This window comes from Homo sapiens, chromosome 20, assembly GCF_000001405.40.
Source record: "Homo sapiens chromosome 20, GRCh38.p14 Primary Assembly".
NCBI classification, from domain to species: domain Eukaryota; kingdom Metazoa; phylum Chordata; class Mammalia; order Primates; family Hominidae; genus Homo; species Homo sapiens.
In genome coordinates, this window is record NC_000020.11 from 20,088,755 (window position 1) to 20,109,907 (window position 21,153).

Consider the following 21,153-nt stretch of genomic DNA (forward strand, 5'->3'; position numbering starts at 1 on the left):
CCGTGGTCTTGTTGGCTGGCTCCCTCCTTCCCTCTGAAGTTTTATAGACCAGAGACCTGGCTTTTCAACTGTGTAGTTCTTCCATCAAGATACTTACTGTTTTTAATGAAAAACCAGCATCATTTCAACCGTTACACTTGTGTCAGCAGAGGCAAAGGTTTCATCCTGGGAGCAGGGTGAAGATTTTCATCCAGAGTGCATGCGGTCATTCAGTTTAAAGCATTTAGACTTAGGAAGTGCAGCTGTGGCAGGATCAGGGGATTCGTTCCTGCAGGGCGCAGGAGGAATGGTGGCAGGGCTGGCAGGACGATAACCTCTGGCCCCTAGCCAAGGACTCCCCTCTCAACTCTTTTGCTTCCAGCTACAAATGTTCAAAAGAAGAGTCAAAATAAAGGAAGATTTTGAAGTGCATTGTCAGCTTAGCAGAGTGTGAAGGCAGGGCTTAAGTCACTAGACCAGAGCTCATATCACGGCTCTGCTGCCAACTATTTCTGTCATCTCAGGCAAAGCATTTCCTCATCCCCATGGGCCTTGCTCTCCTCCCTCTGCAAAGTGAAAATGGCAGTGCCACCCTCCTGGGATCACTGTGAGAAACACAGTAGCAGAAATCATCTGGATAAAGCCCTGAGCTTTATATATATATATATATACTGATCACTCAGTAGATGGAGCTGCTATTAACGTCAAAGAGAACATACTAGAAGATAAAATGGGATGATGAAGATGGTAGCATAGTAAAGCTAGGGGGAGGAAATAGACATTAGTAGCCAAAGCAGATATACTAGAAAAAAATAACACAATGCTGAAACATTTTTACAGAAAGAGTATCAGAGAAAAAAAAAAAAAAGCAAAGTATAAGAACATCCCACACAGGTAAAAAAGAGCACTAAACTTACCCAAGAATGTGCTAAAAAGAAGAAAGGAGTGTTAAATCCTGCAGCAAGATGGAACACAGGAGCTAGCCTCCCCAAGCTGCAATAAATCTGGTTTTTGTTCCCACCTGCCACCGCCCCCTGTGCCAGACTAGTTGTCAAGGTCTCTGTAGAGGGTCCTGAGAATGGAAGCGGAGTGGATGTCCCCAGGAGGGTGAGCAGTGCTCCATCACTTCACCAGCCTTCCCCTCCATGGCAAGTGCAGAGGCATCTCAGGAATAAAGGATGCCATGGGCCAGTGTTTGAAAAATGCATAAACAAGGTTAAATATTCTTTACTGTAGTGCTTCTCAGAGTCTTTAATATGTAACTATGAAACAGGAAGGGACTTATAGTGGTTACTGTTTTTAGGCATTGGAATTCTTTGGGCTGAGAGGATGCTCGGGACAATATCATAGTGGTGTTTCTTAGAACATCCTTGGGAAGTGCTGCCCCTAGTCTCTTGTCCTTTGGCCCATGACAAGTGCTTCCCTGCATCCCACACCCACACATGCCAACTGTGTTCCCTCTGCCTGCAATGTTCCACTTCTAGGTTTCAACATAGCTTCTTCCCTTTCTGTTCATTCAGCTCTCAGCTCAGATGACCCTCCTCATAGAGGTCCTCCCTGACCACTTGACCCTCTCACTCTCTATCCCAAAGCATGTATCATTATTTGAAATGTTTAGAATTGTCTAAATTGGTTACATCTTTATTGTCTGTTTCTCCTATTAGAAGGAAAGTTCAGGCCAGGCGTGGCAGCTCACATTTGTAATCCCAGCACTCTGGGAGGCCGAGGCAGGCAGATCATGAGGTCAAGAGATAGAAACCATCCTGGCCAACATGGTGAAACCCTATCTCTACTAAAAATACAAAAATTAGCTGGGCGTGGTGGTGCATGCCTATAGTCCCACCTACTCGGGAGGCTGAGGCAGGAGAATCGCTTGAACCCGGGAAGCAGAGGTTGCAATGAGCCGAGATCACGCCACTGCATTCCAGTCTGGCAACAGAGTGAGACTCCCTCTCAAAAAAAAAAAAAAAAAAAAAAAAGAAGGAAAGTTGATATCATGAGTGTTGCTCTAGCCCCGGCACTTAGAACAGGGTCTGGCACACAGTTGGTGCCCTGTTGAAGGAAAAAAATGAGTGAACGAACACTGAACTTCAGCCTTTCTATTAAACAGGGTGGAAGACCATGACGATCTCATGCCAATATTTATGCGCTATGACACAATTCTGAAGGAAACTTACGGTGAATACTTCCTGGCCGAACTAATAGAGGCCCAAGATGAAGAGAATCATGCTGTTGTGTGTGAGGTCAGTGACTGATTCATGTGGGAACACACTTAGTGAGAGGAAGGAGGGATGTGAGTGGTGTTGCTCTTGCGTTGCTGGGCACCCCTGGAGCTGCCATTGTCTCCCTGGCCACCCCGGCCCTCCCACTGCCCTTCCAGGTGGTGCACCAGGCCAGCTTCCTCCCCTGGGTTACTGGCTTTAGGTTGTCTTTTGCGAGGTCCTTCCAGATGCCCACGATGCTGTAGATTCTTGCCTTGTCCCTAGAGTGAGAGGGAATGGAAAAGACCCCCCAGGGGTGCGTAGGGGGATTTCTGAGGATCCCCAAATCTCAGACTTCAGAAGTCACAAACCAGCGTTCTGCTGGCAGATGGATTTTGTTTGAGTTGGAAAGGTATTTTTTTTAACTTTTTGTTTTGACATAGTTTCACACTTAAAGAAAGTTTATAACTACCCAGATTCCCCAAATGTTAACATCCAACCCCATTTGTTTTATCATTCTCTTGTTCAACCTTTCTAATTCCCTCTCTCTCTCTCTTTTTCTCTCTTGCTGGCTCTCTCTCTCTCTCTCATGTATATTCTGAACCATTTGAGAGTAAGTTGCATACATAATGCCCCTTTACCTGTAAGTATTTCAATGTATATTTCCTAAAAACAAGGACACTCTCTTAGATAACTGCAATACAATGATCAAAGCCAAGTAATTATGATTCCTGTAATTATTATTATTATTATTATTTTTTGAGATGGAGCCTTGCTCTGTCACCCAGACTGGAGTGCACTGTCATGATCTCGGCTCACTGCAACCTCCGCCTCTCGGGTTCAAGCAATTCTCCTGCCTCAGCCTCCCTAGTAGCTGGGATTACAGGTGTGCGCCACCACGCCCAGCTAACTTTTGTATTTTTAGTAGAGACGGGGTTTCACCATGTTGGCCAGGCTGACCTGAGGTGAACTCCTGACCTCAGGTGATCCGCCCGCCTTGGCCTCCCAAAGTGCTGGGATTACAGGCGTGAGCCACCGTGCCCAGCTAGTTCCTGCAATTCTTTTATCTAATCTACAGACTTCATTCAGATTTTTCTGACAGTCCCAGGAATGTCCTTTATGGCAGAGGTAATTCCAGGCCATTCATTGCATTCAGGTGCTCTGTTTCTTCAGCCTTTTTAAATCTGGAACAATTCTCCGATCCGTCTTTATCTTCCATGACAATTACAGTTTTGAATAGTACAGGTCAGTTATTTTGTAGAATGTCTCCATTTGGATTTGTACAATGTTTTCTCATGATTTGATTCAAGTTATATATGATTAAATATTTTTGAATTAGCAGCTATTGTAAAAATTATGAAAGTCTATGTAAAAATTGGAATTTCTAGCTTTTCTAAACAAATCAGAAGGCCCAGCCTATTGGGCCCAAAAGGCAGCCCACACCCTCTAATTCATGATTCTTCATCTACTCATTTCTCATTATTTGTTAAAACTGTAAGAGCTGTTTAAAGAATATTACTTTTCTTGAAACTTGGAATGAAAAGTTCTCTTACTTGGATGACATGAGCAGTTTGAGGCTTTGTTCTACATCAGTGGTTCTCAAACTTGGCATATATGCAGATCACCTGGGAGGCTTTTAACTATCCATACCATGCCAATGACTTGGATCCAGAATATATACAAAGAACTCTCACAACAATAGAAAAATAATCCACATAAAATGTGGGCAAATGATTCGAATAGACACTTTTAAAAAAAATGAATAAATAAAAGATACAACTGGCCAATAAGCACATGAAAAGACATTCAACATCATTAGTCATTAAGGAAAGGCAAATCAAAACCACACTAAGATACCACTTTACCTCTGCTAGGAGGGTTATAATAAAAAAGCAGGACAATAGCAGATGTTGGCAAGGATGTGGAGAAATTGGAAGCCTCATCCATTGCTGGTAGGAATATAAAATGCTGTGGCCATTTTGGAAAAAGTCTGGTATTTTCTCCAAAAGTTAAACATTTGACCCAGCAATTCCATACACAGAATTGAAAACACATGTCCACACAGAGATGTGTACGCAAATGTTCATAGCAGCATTATTCATAATAGCCAAAAAGTGGAGACAGCCCAAATGTCTATCTACTGATGAATAGATAAACAAGATGTGGTATATCCACACAAGGGAATAGTACCAGGAAATAAAAGAGAACGAAGCACTGATACATGCTACAGCGTGTATGAACCTTGAAAACATGATGCTAAAGAAAAGAAGTCAGTCATAAAGACCACGTATTGTATGATGGCATTTAGATGAAAGCCTAGAATAGACACTTCTGTAGAGACAGAAGGTAGATTAGTGACTGGAGGGAAAGGGGAAGGAGAAGTGACTAATATTGGGCATAGTCGTTGGTTGGTGGGGGGATGAAAATGTTCTGGGATTAGACAGTGGTGATGGGTGTACAATTTTGTGAATATATTAAAAACCATTGAATTGTGTATTTCTTTTTTTTTTTTTTTTTTGAGACAGAGTCTTGCTCTGTTGCCCAGGCTGGAGTGCAGTGATGTGATCTTGGCTGACTGCAACCTCCACCTCCCGGGTTCAAGTGATTCTCCTGCCTCAGCCTCCCAAGTAGCTGGGATTACATGCATGTGCCACCACACCAGGCTAATTTTTGTATTTTTAGTAGAGATGGGGTTTTGCCATGTTGACCAGGCTGGTCTCAAACTCTTGGCCTCAAGTGATCTGCCTCCCAAAGTGTTGGAATTACAGGTGTGAGCCACTGCACCAGGCATGAATTGTGTACTTCTTGAAGGGTTGTTTTTATGGTAGGTGAATTATATCAATTATATCCATTTTTAAAAATCCTGTTGCAGGGGTACACTCAGGCCAATTAAGTCAATCTTTTGGGGGTGAGACACAATCCATATATTTATTTTTAATTTTGGACACTCACTATGTTGCCCAGGCTTTTCTTAAACTGCAGTCCTCCTGCCTCAGCCTCCCAAAGTGCTACGGTTACAGGCATGAGCCACCATGCCTGACCTCAATCTGGATTTTTAAAGATCTCCCCAGATGATTCCAAGGTGCAGTCCAGGTGGTGAAACACTCATCTACATGAGGGTAAAACATACCTGGTGAGAATGACATGACTTTATAGAGATGTGGGTATTAGTTTCTGAAGGTGACAATTGGCCCCTGGAAATTAGATTCTGAAGTACTACATTGAAAGGATTTTTATTTATTTTTTAAATGTTTATTTTATTTTCTTATATTTAGGTTTTGGCATGGTTTCTCAAAGACCCGCTTTCACGTATTCTTGTTTAGCCATTAGCCCCAGGCTACCAGGCTAGCCATAGAAGGGAGGGTTGGAAGCATTTGGGCCCAGCAGTACCATTTGGAAAGCTTGTCTTTACACAACTAGACAGAAACTCCTGAGAAGTGAAATGATTCATACAGACCCCAATAAGGATTTTCATGACCAAACTTTACTTATCAGGTTTAATCAGGGTCTTTGTTTTTGGAAGGCTTTTAATTATTTGGTTCCAAGGTACTAGTTTTACTCTGAATCACTTGAGTCAGTGCTTTGTAGAGAAGCTGCAGTGACCTCTTCCCCCACGTTCTTTCTCTCTCTTGCCGTATGTTTCACACTTTCAGTGTGTGTAAACATCAGAGCAAAGCTGTAGGCTGAAAACTGCAGTTCCAACCCTGCAAGAATCCTTTGGTGTCTCGAAAGAGGCAGAGGGCATCCAGCCCCATCTCCTTCCAGAGGCCGTGCTGCCTCAAGCATCAGAGGCTTTGTGTTCTGTGGAGGGGAGACCACAGACCTCGATCTTAAAATGGAAGGGCAGAAACAAGACTGTGAGCCGGGATCTGGGAGGGGACGTCTAATCTGAAGTGAGCCATGTCTGATGTCTGAAGCCTTTTGGGGTTCAAGATCAATGCTGTTGCTACCCTTTTTCCTGCCTCCCTAGGGGGCTTTTAGGCAATGGTGTGCTGGAGCCAGCTTGCTCTGGCTCTCAAGGGCTGATTGTTAAATCCTCAGGAACTCTGCAAACTGCTTGTTAAACACAGCTATTATTAAAAATTAAATTATAGAAACCTACAGTGTAATAAATTATATTAAAACAAAGTTAATAAATACTTGAAATTCATCACCTTCCATTTTTTTTTACTATTCTCCATGTTCTTGAGGGTTTTTTTTTAAATGTCTGGGTCTCTATACAGTAGATATAAGAAATAATGGCTAGCTACTGCGCATTCCCTCCCAACTACATGTTTAGTGAGATCACACTGTTCACTTGACATTGACCATGATGACAGCGCTTACACCTCAGAAATCGGCAAATGCTACAGATCTGGGCTTTTCCCCCGCAAATGCTGATTAGGCATTTACAGGCACACGTTACTTTAAGGCAACCACTGTCAACCAGAGGAAACAGAAAGAAGTCCATCAAGTTTGTCTTTCTGAACAGCCATGGCAGTTCCAGGCCAGGCATGCAGCATGCCTGAGGGCAAGGCTGTGCCCTGTGGGAAACCCTTACTACTGAAAGGGTTTTTAGTTACAAGGACTTTCTTTGGCTTGATAGCTAGTTTGGAGGAGTTTGGGGCCATCACTTCATACAAGTTCCTTGTCATAACTGTACCCTGGCTTACCTTGACATCTGGTGTTTACTCCAAGCTGAGGTTTTAGGGAAGGGTAGTTGGAGGCCAGCGGCGGCTCCTAGTGACAGATGGGCAGAGCGTCTGCTTTGGCATCATCCAGGGTGTGGGCAGCAGTGGTCCGAGTAGGCACCACTGACCTGCAGGCAGGGAAAGCCTGCCAGGTCAGCCATGCGCTTGGCATCAGGAGGAGAGGATCAGAGCCAGCAGTGGTCACAATGAGGGCAAAACCCTCACAGTGGAATATTGTCACCCAAAAGGGATGGGTGGCTGTAGGGCTTTTTGGATGGAAGCATAAATGAGAAAATACACACGTTTCTGTAAATGGACCTGTTTGGGAAGACAAGGCCACAGTACACATAGTTTTCTAGCAATCTAAACCTTATGTGTCATGATGTAGATATTTACAGGACAAGCAAGAACAACAAAACCTTCAGTTTTGTTCTCCAGTATAAGATAATTGAAGACACTTGTGGTGAAAAGTACTTCTGTCACCAGGAAGATAGATAACAGCCAGCAATCAATGCCTTTCTGTTGTACAAGTTAAAAAGTCCATTAAATCCATTTTTTTTTCAGTGCATACACAAGAATACATTTGGATACTCCTGCAAATTCATATTTAAGAATAGTGTTTCTCAAATCGGTTATTTGAAAGAAACTCAAAGGAAAAAGCAGACACTTCCACAATATGTCCTTGCTCTGTTGTAGTCTGTAATTGTGAACTTTTGTAAATTGTTACAACCCTGGATGAATGATGGGAATATAACAGGTTGTAGAATTGGAGAACGTTAAATCTTTGTTCCTAATGGCAAAACATGTTTTTCTCATTTTCATCAGAATGTGTGATCCATGCCATTTGAAATCAAATTCCAAACACAATGAGCCATTAGTGTAATAGCTCATTACTAACAGCGGTCTTATAAATAATACATTCTTATCATACACATGCAGCTCGCTGTGAAGCCAGCAAAAGGTATTTCAGGCCATCGAAGTTTTGTTGCGCCAGCGCGGCTGTAGATTAGAAGGACATCTCCATGTGAACCAAGATGGATGCCAATTTTCCCTGCCGAGAGTCAGGCTGGCCGTCTCTTTCTGCACATATGGTAGATGGATTGGTTAATCAGCGTCTGCTGAGTCTTGGGCCTGAAATTACAGAGAAGCTAGACAACTGCGGCTATGCAGCCTTTGTTCACGAGTGCAAACAAGACAAACAATCACTTGTTATTTGGGAAAAAAATTAAAATGTTTATTTTGGACTTTTATTAAAGTGTCAATGGCTTTATAAAACAGCTGTGTAAATCCAGGCTTTTTCAGCAAGTATCATTTTAGGGGGCCTGTAAAGAAAGGAATATACATGAAAAAATTAATTTTTAAAAATTCCCCTCATATTTCAGTATTGAGAAGAAAATAGAGGAGGTCTCACTTTTATTTTGCAAACACGTTTGAGAACAAATGATTTTTAACTGGGAGACATATTCGAGAACAAATAGTAGTTTAATACCTATTTTTTTTTTTTTTTTTGGTGTCATTTAAAAAACTGAGTATTATTGTAGCCCGATTCTCTGTTTTAGGAGATTAAAGCATTTTCTCTGACTGGGCATTTATGGAAAGATGCTGCGTTCTTGGGAATAGAGAATGCCTGTGATTATTGAGTTCTGCTACTTTCTGAATGCAATGGTTATCTAAAAGTCTGAACACTTGAGAGATAGGACCCAGTAAATGCAGGTTTCTAATAAGAGCTATCAGAGTCTAATCAGTCAACCAGAATTTGCTTAAAATCTACTAATAATTATTTTATGTGAAATTTAAAGGACTATGTATTTTCTCTCTCTTTTTAAATTTTAAATACTTTCCTTGCAGAAAACAATGAAATACAGAATTACTTAAGGGATATATTAAGGAGTTTCAGTCACAGCCGTCTCTCCATGTGGAATATGATAGAATTAAAGTCTGTTGTTAATTTCTAATGTTTTGGTACCAATCAGGTACCTGGTACCCAACCAAGGTTCAGATCAGCTAGTTACTCATCTTCTCGCCTATGTATTACTCATCAAAGACTGAAAATCATGGGGACGACTGCAAGAGCTTCAGAACCAGGCATTTCAGGGTGATGGGAAGTTCAACATTTGCAGATCAGACCCACCTGGTGAACCAGCCTAGCCTGACTCAAGTTTACTTCACTGGAACATTTTCCACCAAACTTCCTTCCCTCATATCTCCTCCCTATCAGACTATCCAGTTAATAAATAAGTGACTTCAAGACAAATTGAAGAGTTTCTACCTGATAAGGAGCTAGGGACCGTGAACTTTCTCTGTACTGGGGGCTGATCAGATGGGCACTGGAACAATGACCTGTATTCCTGAGAAGTGTGCATGGCAGAGGGAAAGAAAGTAGACAGGAGCGCCAGGCTTATGGTGGGGTACAAACACAAGACACCAAATGGCAGAGGATATGGAGCAGGCAGGAGCATGGTCTGAGCAGAGGGCAAGTGTTCCAATGGTTGAAGGGTCAAGAACTCTGGCAATTTCCCTGTTACTTATGCACCACTAGGTGTGTCCCCAGTGGTCACTTATTGGGACATTTTTTGAGCATGTTTTATGTACTGAAGGAAGACACTTATTCCTCCCTTAAATCTCAAGGTGACTGCCAAACCACCAGCCGACCACATTCTGAGGGCTCTGGAGGTTTCCTGATGAGAATCATTTGACCTCTGATAAAGTAATGAAGTGTTTTGGACTGGGTGTGGTGGCTCATGCCTGTAATCCCAGCACTTTGGGAGGCCGAGGTGGGTGGATCACTTGAGGTCAGGAGTTCAAGACCAGCCTGGCCAACATGGTGAAACTCCGTCTCTACTAAAAATGCAAAAATTAGCTGGGTGTGGTGGCGGGCGCCTGCAGTCCCAGCTCTGCGGGAGGCTGGGGAGAAGAATTGCTTGAACTGAGGAGGCGGAGGTTGCGGTGAGCCAAGATACACCACTGCACTCCAGCCTGGGTGACAGAGCGAGACTTTGTCTCAAAAAAAAAAAAAAAAAAAGAATAATGAGGTGTTTTGGATATTTCAGGTGGAAGGCACAGCTGTTGGGTTCATGAGTGTGTGCTCAAGAGTGAACATGCAACTGCTGCATGAGTGCTTTGACTTGGGCCCTTTCCACGGACTCTGTTTCCCACATCCTGATGACGTTCTGGAATCACCACAAGACCTAAGTGTCCGAAGAAGTCAAGGTACAGTGGCTATCACAGGGACACACTGGGAAATTAAATCTATGCTTTATACACATTGCGCTCTTCGCTAAGTGATGGAACTAGATAGGATGCTTTATATTTCCTTCCCCAGTTCCCCTTAAGGAGTAGTTCCCATGGTTGGTCACATCCTTGTGAAATACCTACAAGCACAGATAGTCACAGTGCAGGGGTGGAGTTAGACATAGTGGACTTGGGGCCTTAGGGCTCCCACATTCAGGATGCTCACTTCTTGAATGTTCATTGCTAGAGTACATGTAAGTTATGATGAAATAATTACTGGTGTTTCAGGTTTCACACACACACACACACACACACACACAACCAAATACAACAAGTGAATTTTTCAAATCAAGAACTCAGGAAATTTTTTATGCTTTTAAGTTTTAATCCCAACTTTCAGTGCTTCTGTTTTTGTCTTTGACAAATCATTATGTAGTATAGGTCTGTTGCAAGTAGTCATTTTTAACTTGCTTAAGTTACTTCTAGTTATATGAAATAATACCATCAATTTTAAAATATTGTCTGTATCAAGATTTTCACCACGTTCAATTAGGTAACCTCAAACTTTGATGTTTTAATTTAGTGAGGTCTTACTGTATCCATGGGTATCTTTGCGGTTACATATTTGGGTTCTTACAGAAGACAGATGCAGACAGGCAAGTTACCATGGGTACATCAATTCACTTCTCCAAAGCTGGATTTCTTCATTTGTAAAATGGGCATAATAGTAATACCTCCCACACGGGGGGGGGGTTGTGAAGTTTCACTGAGATAAGCCATGTAGAGTGCTTTGCACAGTCAACACTCAATAAATGTTGATCATCACCGTTAGCAATTATTTTTTCTTTGTGTCGGCCTTCCACCAACTTGAATCTTCCTAGGGTAAAATCAGGGTATTTCAAATTGCTATGCTTTCTCCTGTCTGAAAGATTACACCAAGATTGTTCAGAAATGGGGAAAGGAGCACTTGGCTGGTGGCAAAGGACTTGCCAATCTAGACAACAGAAGGCAGTGACTTGGCTAAGCTTATCCCCTGAATGCATAAACCCCGTGCACAGTGTCTAGACCTCATCTGAACATACACACTTATCACAGAGAACCTGCAAAGCCACAGATAGAGGAGTTTCCCTTTTGTGCTGATGATAACAACACCCTCCCCAAAAGAGATTTGGGGTCCTTATTGTTTAATAGTGAAGCCTTGCTTGCCATGCTTCCCAGAGAAGAACTCTACCATAGGAGAGTTCTGAGGGAACTTATCAGTGTGAGACAGTCTGGAACCATAAGTTGTCATTGTTATTTTCCAATGCTTAAATTCTTCTTTGAAAGCAGCACTAAATGGCCTTTTTTTTTTTTTGAGATGGAATTTAACTCTTGTCACCCAGGCTGGAGTGCAATGGTGTGATCTTGGCTCACTGCAACCTCTGCCTCCAGGGTTCAAGTGATTCTCCTGTCTCAGCCTCTGGAGTAGCTGGGATTACAGGTGTGCGCCACCACGCCCAGCTAATTTTTGTATTTTTAGTAGACACAGGGTTTCACCATGTTGGCCAGGCTGGTCTTGAACTCCTGACCTCAGGTGATTTACCTGCCTCAGCCTCCCAAAGTGCTGGGATTACAGGTGTGAGCCACTGCACTTGGCCCTAAATAGCCTTTTTATGGCTGAATATTCTCACATGTAAAATGGAGATAAAAATAGTATCTAACCCAAAGAATTGAGGGGACAATTAAATGTTAGAATCTATGTGTTGTGCTTAGCTCAGCGCCAAACACAAAGTAAGTCCTGAACATTTAAAAATATTTTTTCCCCTGTGGCTGTTGTAATGAAGAACAAGTTGAAAAGATGTAGTCCCTTCCAGTGTGTTTCTGAGTGGCTCTGATGCTACTGTTTCCTACATAGAATGAATGGAAAATTCCTTAGAAACTTTATGGGGCAGTGAAATTCAAAATTTAAACTGAACCCTGGACTTAAAAACATACGTAAGCTAGTATATCTCTAGCAAGAGCCCACAGAGATATGGGCACTAAAAGAAGTCCTACTTCTGTTTACCTCCTTCAATATTTTTACCTAAAATAAGTCAATCTAGGACAGATGGTAAGTAAAAGAAATAGGAAAACTTATCTTCTGTGCCTTGTTTATTTTTGAAAGTCAGCTTTATGTTCATTGACACAAAGATGATTCCTTATGAAATTTTCACCAGGGAGCTGGCATTGTAGACTTCCACATAACTTCCAGGGATTGAGTCACAAATCATCAACAGCTCATTATATCTAAGAAAAGAGTCATCAGCACATTTTGCTGCCATCTTCCTATCAACAACAACAAAGAATGAGGCTCCAGAGAAAATTCTAAATGTACTGTGATCTGTTACTTTCCTTTCCTGATGAAAGTCTCAAGTTAAAGGAAATATAATTTCTCTAAAATATGAACTAAAATTCTTGTTTCAAATGAGCACACATCACTGTGTCTCATATCTTGTATTTTGTTTAGTGCTTTTTTCCATTTCAAAGGATTTTTATATATGTAATCTCATGTTATCCTATAACTTGGTGTAGGAGAGCTAGGGAAGGTGAGGTTCTCTCCATTTTTTACTTGCTAAAGCTCATCCAAGCTTTTAAAGCTCATCAGTGGCTGACCCAGAAGGCAGACCCAGCCTCTCTCTGCTTTCGTGCATGATGATAGTCTTGGCAAGGTAACGTCTTATCTTGGATGGTTTTGACAGAAAACTCCAATGACGGGTCTGCTACACAAGATACATGATGAGTTTTTTCACTTTATTTTTATTTTTTATTTTTATTATTGTTATTTTTTTGAGATGAAGGCCCCCCTCTGTCACCCAGGTTGGAGTACAGTGGTGCAATCTCAGCTCATTGCAACCTCTGCCTCCCGGGTTCAGGTGAGTCTCCTGCCTCAGCCTCCCCAGTAGCTGAGATTACATGTGTGTGCCACCACACCCAGCTAATTTTTTTTGTATTTTTAGTAGAGACAGAGTTCATCATGTTGGCCAGGCTGGTCTTGAACTCCGGGCCTCAGGTGATCCGCCCACCTCGGCTTCCCAAAGTGCTGGGATTACAGGAGTAAGCCACCATGCCCGGCCAGTTTTTTCACTTTAATAAGTTATTTAATGAATGATCACTTCAGTGGGTGATCAGTGACCTGCCCATATCCCTCCGACTTTTATTTTGTATGTGTGTGCTCCAAACAACTCCTATCTGCTGGAATCTTCACCTCTGTGTCTGCAGGCTTTTTTAAAACTGTGAAAGGCCACTCTGACCTATGCAGGGGTCAGGCTGGAAGTGTCAGGAAATTATCACTCAAGGAATAGACTCTGTTTCCCTATGTCACATCCCAGCTTCCCTGCTGGTGCTTTCTCCATTGACTCCCAAATAAATGGTTGTAACTGAATCTTTAACTTAAGATTTGCCTCTGAGGCAAGTGAGACCAAGACACTACTAGTTAGGTCTTTTCCTACCAGCTGTGAAAGCATTTATTTATACACAGCTGACTTGGGTGAGAGTATAAATACCCCAGCTCCCTCACTCCTCAGGTGGGAGGACTCAGATATGTGAGTATTGGCTGGTTTCCCAGAGTTCCCCCAAGGGATTAAGTTTCAGTTGTCCATAATAGTAATCTGGGTGATAACACATGTGTTGTTGTTTTTTAACTTTTAAGTTCAGGGGTACATGAGAAGGTTTGTTACATAGGTAAACTTGTGTCATGTGGGTTTGTTGTACAGATTATGGCATCACCCAGGTATTAAGCCTAGTACCCATTAGTTACTTTTCCTGATCCTCTCCCTCCTCCCACCCTCCACCCTCAAAAGGCCCCAGTGTGTGTTGTTCCCCTTTATGTGTCCATGGACAACACACATTTTATTAGTTGCCTTTCCTTCCCTGTCTCTTTCCTCACTCTCCTACTGGTACATCCTGGAACCACCTCCAAAATAAACTGCTTATTCTCAAGCTCTTCTCTCAAGATCTGATCTTTCCCTGCCAGCTGTGAAAACTTGCAATTTCACACCAACCTCAACCCTTTCAAGCAGAATAATGTCAAGACTCAGCATTCTTAAATGAATCCAGAGGCCCTCCTTTTTCTAGCTCCTAATACACATGGTAATTAGCTTACTGTCCTTCATCATCTCAGCCTTATCAAAAGTTTCCCTGGAGGTCTGGCTGGTGTTAACAGAAAGGAGGGCAGAGCTGGTGTGGCTGACCATGGAGAAAGCTGACTTGGCTGGTGTGGTGCAGAGAAGCCAGCTTGTTTATGTGCTTATTCCATGACTGCTTGTCCTGAGCAGAAAGTGCTTTTCAGGATCTATTTTTGGAGGTTTATTAAGTATGTTCTCAATTCCAACAGTTTAATGAAGATCTAAATAAAATGCTAGGTTCTACCTTAAAAAAAAAGTTTCCCTGAATCTAAAATGTTTAACTGTGTACAATCAATTTGTGTTTTACCTGAATAATTTGTGTATGTTTTCATAGCTACCCATTTTGCATGTATAACCTATTACATACTTGTAAACTTTGGTTTTTATGTACTAAACATTGGGAGTAAACTGGGACCAATGGGAATAGGTTCTAAGGATGTAAATTTTGTCCAAGCATAAGGAAAAACTAGTAGAAGTGTATTTTTTTTATTTAATGGAGGACCTAGTGTGGAAGTAGCAAGTTCCCAGAATATTGGAAGAATTCATAAAGAAACAGTCATACACACTTACAAAGGGCTTTCTGCTTGTGTGGAAGATTATACTGAATGAGATGTAAGATCCCCTTAAATGCTAAAAAAAACTTATTGAATACATATCAAGATGTTCCATATGCCTGGCACTTTATGAATATTTTCCTTCAGTGACAATAAAATGGTTCAAAACAATATTTTTTCCAGTTGGCCGCAGCACTGGCCCTGCCTGGTGTTTGCAAATCAAGCTGTGTCTTTTGTTAGCTGCATCACCCAATAAATATTTTGGAATCAAGCTTGAGCTGGCAATTTTCTTGATAATGCATAAGGCAAAATAGGGCACAACCTGCATTTCCACAGCTGTACTGGCATTGCCGCATTTAATAGTTAAAATAAAAAAATAAAAACAAGCAAAAAACAAAACTTTTGTTCCTCATGTAGGCCGTTGAGATCTGGGCAGCATGAATCTCTGTTTTAAAAGACTCCTGCAAGGTTCCGATTTGTAAATCTCATTATATACCCAGGGCCCACCTTACAAAGTCTCTGCAGAACTTGATGTGCTCCTTGGCAGGGAGAGATTTCACTTTACATAATAGAGTTATGGGCATTCAAAAGAATAACTAGTGTAGCCCCTTGTCACCAAGTCATCCAGGAAAACTGTTGCTCACTATACATATAAAAGACCCTTCAAAATAGAATTTTTGTAATGTCTCCACGTAAAACATCGCAATATTGCCTTTAACTTTTTTTTTTTAAATTACTCCTGCTGTCAGGAAATGTCTTTATATGTCTTATTTCAATTTTATGTCTTGTTTTATTGAACTCACATTTGCTTCTTATCTCAGATTCCCTCATCTCTTGGGTTAGGAAACACCTAGACCCACTCTCCCTGTGTCGGAGCTAAAAAACAATGGCTACATTAAGTCTTATTGATTGTGTATTAAATCATCCCAGGTCTTTTCGCCTCTCTTCCTAAGGTTCCATTTTATATTCCTGGATTCCCTTCTATTTTACTTTATTCTTCTTTTAACATGGATTCCAAACAGGACTGGAGCACGTATCTACAGGGTGTGTTAGGATTTCTGCTGCCGTCTTTACATTACAGATCTCGGAACCTTGTTTTTAACAGTCAGTTCATTCTGTAGTTAACCAGTGACCCACCAGGACTTAGTCTGCCAGGGCTGCCATAACAAAGTGCCACAGACTGGGTGGCTTAAAAAACAGAAATTGATTTTCTCACATTTGTGAGGCCAGAAGTCAAGATGTTGGAGGGGTCAGTTTCTTTTGAGGCCTCCCTCCTTGACTTGTAGACGGCCATCTTCTCCCCATGTCTTCACAGGGTCTTCCCTCTGTGCCCATCAGTGTTTTTGGTTTTTCTTTTTATAAGGACACCAGTCACAATGCATTAGGGCTCACCTGTAACTTTAACTCAGTTACCTCTTTAAAGACTGTCTGCAAATACAGTCCCATTCTGAGGTACTAGGGGTTAAGCCTTCAGTGTACGAGTTTTGGGGGTGGGAGGAGGCACACTACAGCCCAGGAGAGGCTCTATGGTATCGTACTGCCTTCCTCTGGTCCCTAATAGGGGGGCGGTATGTGTTCAGGGTGGGGAATGTTTGGATGTCTACATCCTCTCATAAGCCCATGTTCTTCCCCTGGCTGGATGTAAGCCGCACCCACCCAACCTTCTGTGCCCGAGGAAAGTCCCTGTGTCCCACCAATGGGCTTCTCATTGTTCCTGGCATGGGTTTCAGATCCCCCTAGGAGAGGAGTTCTGTTCTTACAGGCTTCTGTGCCCTGGTCACCTCCACTTCCCAGGAGGCTAGGGTGAGTTCTGGGGCCCATTATAGCTCTCACTCAGTGGCCACACAGCAATATTACTCACTTGGTAGCAGTTGCCACCAAATTTGCCATTTTCTCATTGTGATCTGGGCTTTGAGCATCTCAGTTCTCCCTCCTCCCCTTTTCTTTCCTTCTCCTAGATCCTGTGGTGTGGTTCTTTGATGCCTGTACTCAAGGCTCTGATAGTAATGCAGACAGTGGCAGCAAAGTCGGCTTTACTTAATGTTCATACATAGCCCTAATATACTAACTTATACTTGTTAAAATTTGAATTATTTATTTATTTATTTTTATTGTTTTGAGACGGAGTCTCGCTCTGTCGCCCAGGCTGGAGTGCAGTGGTGCAATCTCGGCTCACTGAAAGCTCCGCCTCCCAGGTTCACACCATTCTCCTGCCTCAGCCTCCCGAGTAGCTGGGACTACAGGCGCCTGCCACCATGCCCGGCTAATTTTTTTGAGTTTTTTTTTTTTAGTAGAGATGGGGTTTCACTGTGTTAGCCAGGATGGTCTCGATCTCCTGACCTTGTGATCCGCCCACCTCAGCCTCCCAAAGTGCTGGGATTACAGGCATGATGAATTTCATTTTTTTAAGCCACTGAATGTCTTTAGCATATGAAGGCAACATCTTCGAAAGCTTTAGCTACTCTTGCCTATATATATATATATATATATATATATATATATATATATATATATATATAAAATTTGATTTTCTAGAATCTACTTTGTTAATTCTAAAGCTTTGCAAGAGATGTTGATAAAACAAATAAATCATACCAGACCTATACCCAGGCATCTCCAATGTTGAGAGTTTAGACTCTTTCAGGGCTTTCAGGGCAGAGCCCCTGGACTGGTAGGATACCAGGAAGACTGTAATCCAGACCTGAAGCCCAGAACTTGTTGTCAGGGACATGACCCCAAAGCCATCTTGGTGAGCCTTTTGGTTATTTCATAAAACCTGTTGTCAATTCTCCATCTTAATTCCAAAGCTGATTTCTAAGCCTTTTCTAATGTCTTCAAAAACAACCATAGCATCAAAGGATGGCAACCACTTAAGAATCTATTATTTTGCAGACAGCAACATGACTGAGATCTGCATTCCTCCTTTCCTCTTCAGCCCTGGGAGCGACCTGTGATATCACAGCCTTGTTCTCCAACAGTCAGATTCATTTCACAATGGTGGAAATACAAGCGCATTTTTGTATGGGGCCTGGAGGTCTTCAGAAGAAAAGTGGCTTTATTTATATTCGTTATGATCATTATGTGCTGGGATTATTTTCTCAGTAGGGGATGTCTCTTTTGCCCATATTTATGAAGCAGGGGAGAAGGCATTTAATGAAGTTCAAGAGTGTATTTGACTGTAAAACACATCTCAGTACATTCACATGTAAATAACCCTTTTATTTGTTCTCTCTGGTGACCTTTTTCCTGTTGGGGTAGATCACAGTTTGTTGTTGTTTTCCATTTTCAGATGGAAGGCTGAAAGATAATAACGAAAGATTATGCAAAAAAAATCCGTGTTTAAAATAATGTTGATATGCCACTTGTGTTGCAGGATAATTATAGTAATTTGGCTATTACGCTATATGGAGTCAGCAGTTAGTTGCTAGAAAACACGGTGATAGGGGTGATTCAAGGGATTTTCATCCCAACTGGGTGTTTGATCCTGCTGACTTTTCTCTTGAAAATCAATTGCTTGCACTGAATACTTTGAATTCCCCCTTGATTAAATTGGCCATCAGTGGGTCACACCCATTGCACTGAGGTCACTGTGAGTTCTGTTTACAAAGAGTTTTTGATGATTCTTAAAATATCATGGACCAAATTTAATCTGAGCCAAGCGGCTAAGGAAGCAATTACTGAAAAGCACAGTTTTTGCACATGGCAACAAACAAAGGAAAATTTATTAATTCTGAAGCTCAACATGAAGCCAGTTATTTGACTACTGGGTCAGAGGCCTTCTCTCCACTGCATTTTGCTTGGACTTTCGGTATTTTCAGACCTCCATGGACAGATAGGCTCACTCAGTAGAAGACCTGGTAGAGGCATCTTGGAAGCATCTTTGACAACTTTTCCATTTCTCCTCAAGGTAGTTAATAGATTCAGGTTTTCTATTTCCTTTGAATCAATTTTGGAAATAAGATTATTCTAGAAAAGCTTAATTTAGTATATGAAGATGAAAAATTAGCATACAGTAGTGGAGATATATATAGGAGTATATGTATAATATATGTGTGTATATATGTATCCAACTCTGTGGAAAAATACTTAAAAAAATTTTTTTTCTTTTTTTCAGAGACAAGGTCTCATTTTGTTGCCCAGGCTGGGGTACAGTGGTGCAAGTATGGCTCACTGCAGCCTTGAACTCTTTCTGGGCTCAAGTGATCCTCCTACTTCAGCTTCCTGAGTAGCTGGACTATAGGTATGTGCCACCATACCTTGCTAATTTTTACATTTTTTTGGAGACAGGGTTTCGTTTTGTTGCCAGGCTGGTCTTGAATTCCTGGCTTTAAGCAATCTTCCTGCCTTGGCCTCCCAAAGTGCTGGAATTGCAGGGATGAGCAACCACACCCAGCCTGTCTTTTTTATTGAGTACTGATTTAAGTCTACATGAAATATTCTAAAATAAAGAGAAAAGCAAATCACAAAAGTAGTTATATAAAAATATTATTCATAATAAATGTGGGAAAATATTAAACTTCCCTAAAACTGAAATGCACATTAAAACCCAAGATCTTTTTCTCCCCCATTTTGCCTACTAAATTGTAAATATGCATTGTAATTAAAACACTTAGCTCTGGGCAAGAAGCACTGTAATGAGCACTCAGATTTTCTGATGCTCTGAAGGTTGACTGATATAACATTCTGGAGTACAATTTAGTCATGGTTATCACAGAATGCATTAGATGTTCATGTTCTTTGACTTCAACTATAGCAAATTTGAGGAAATAATACTAATACTATAAAAAGATCCATATGCAAGAATTTCACTAAGCTTAATCATAATACTAAAAATGAACAAACAAAAAATATCCAAATAAACAAATGTAAAAACCCCAAGTCTCCCACAAGGAGATGGCTAAACTTGTGAATATCCCTTAGATAGATATGCAGAAGCCTTTAAGAAGAAGGTTACAAATAGTGAGGGGAAATGGTTCAGATATAATCTCAGGTGAAAAAAAAATCAATGCAAAATGAATTGCAGTATCAGTAAAGTCACCTAATAAAACACATGTTATGAAGAGTACAGGGAGGCAATGAACTAAAATGACAAAAGGGCTGGAGTCATAGAAGTGGCAATAGAGCAACGCTTTTATTTCCTCCCTATATTTTTTAAAATGTGGAAACTATTAAATCTACAGAAAAGTTGCAGATACGTTTTTTTCTTCCTAATCCATGTCAACGTAAGTTGCCAACATGAAGTTGTTGGAGCACCTTGGAATACTTTTGTATGTATTTGCTATAAAGAGGGACATTCTCCTTTGCAACCTCAAACATCCACTGATATCAGGAAATTAACATGAATATGTTACTACAATTTAATCCACAATCCAAAGACACCAGTTACATTTCTTCATTTGTCCTGAGGATGTCCTTTGTGGCAAAAGAATCCAGTCCAGGATAACAAACTGCAGTTACTTGTCATATTGTCTTTCAATGTGGAACAGTTGCTCAGTCTTTCCCTGCTTTTTATGACCTAGCCCATAATTTTGTAGAACGTAATTTATTTTTGTTTGTTTGATGTTTATTCATGGTGAGAGTCATGTCATGCATGTGGAACTCTGGGCTCTCAGTCCATCCTATCTGGTGTGATACATTTTCAGTCTGCCCTGTTACTGATGATGATGTGTGTCACTTTGATCACTTGACTAAAGTGACTCTTTTAGGTAAAAATTAAAATTATTTTCACTTATCCCAGTCTGTGCAGAAGTCTGTAATAATGTCTTTCTTCCTGAACTCTGTATTAGCTCTACCCTGATTTTCACTTGGAATCAACTGATCCTGTTTTACTCCTTGCTTGGGGTTTCATCTTTGCACCACCCAGCATCCCACCACAGGTACTTGAGGCTGTTGAGCTCTCCTTGGGTAAATGATGCTCTTGGTTGTTCCATACGTCAGTCCTTCTATGCTTGAGCTGGTGTCAGCCTCTGGTAATTGCTGTGCGTGGTCCATTTCAGGCAGATGGCTCCTGACTTACTTTGTAGCCAGAATAGACTTCAGCAAGGCAGACTCCCTTCCCCCTCTAACTAGGGTGCTCACAAACGACATGGACCCAGCTCCCAAGTGCTCGGTCTAAAGCTTTACCTACAATTTATTCTCTCCTGTAGCTGTGATTATATCTCTTTCTTCTTAAAGTCATCTTTGCTTTTTACTCTGTCTTGTCTTTTAATTAGGTTTTCCTGTTTGGTCTTTTCAAAGAGCTAGCTCTTAATCTATCAAGTCTATGGGTTTCTTTTTGAATTTATTAATATCTGCTTTCATTTTGTGACCTCTTTCTCCTGATTTCTTTGAATGTGTTTTGTTCTTCCTATTCTAATTGTCTAATTGCCTGATTCAT

At 41.3% G+C, this 21,153-nt stretch overlaps 1 protein-coding gene and 1 long non-coding RNA gene across 3 annotated transcripts in view, besides 1 other annotated feature; one reads left to right on the forward strand and one right to left on the reverse strand.

The window, feature by feature from the left end:
• CFAP61 (cilia and flagella associated protein 61) overlaps positions 1 to 21,153 on the forward strand; it is a 308,167-nt gene that overhangs the window by 36,223 nt on the left and 250,791 nt on the right. For both annotated transcript variants that reach the window (NM_015585.4, NM_001167816.1), the window contains 2 exons: positions 2,090 to 2,222; positions 9,901 to 10,060. In NM_015585.4, coding sequence (NP_056400.3) covers positions 2,090 to 2,222; positions 9,901 to 10,060 — 293 coding nt within the window. The remainder of the gene's footprint in view (positions 1 to 2,089; positions 2,223 to 9,900; positions 10,061 to 21,153) is intronic.
• LOC124904880 (uncharacterized) lies at positions 5,690 to 7,001 on the reverse strand. The gene is made up of 2 exons (XR_007067553.1): positions 6,833 to 7,001; positions 5,690 to 6,009 (listed from the first exon to the last, which is right to left on the reverse strand). It is a non-coding gene; the product is annotated as an uncharacterized LOC124904880 (long non-coding RNA).
• Positions 17,428 to 17,992: an enhancer, noted in NCBI's record as "NANOG hESC enhancer chr20:20086826-20087390 (GRCh37/hg19 assembly coordinates)". NCBI's record gives its function as "activates a minimal SCP1, AML or CMV promoter by ChIP-STARR-seq in naive and primed H9 embryonic stem cells {active_cell/tissue: H9 hESC(naive and primed)}" and the evidence as "EXISTENCE:reporter gene assay evidence [ECO:0000049][PMID:30033119]".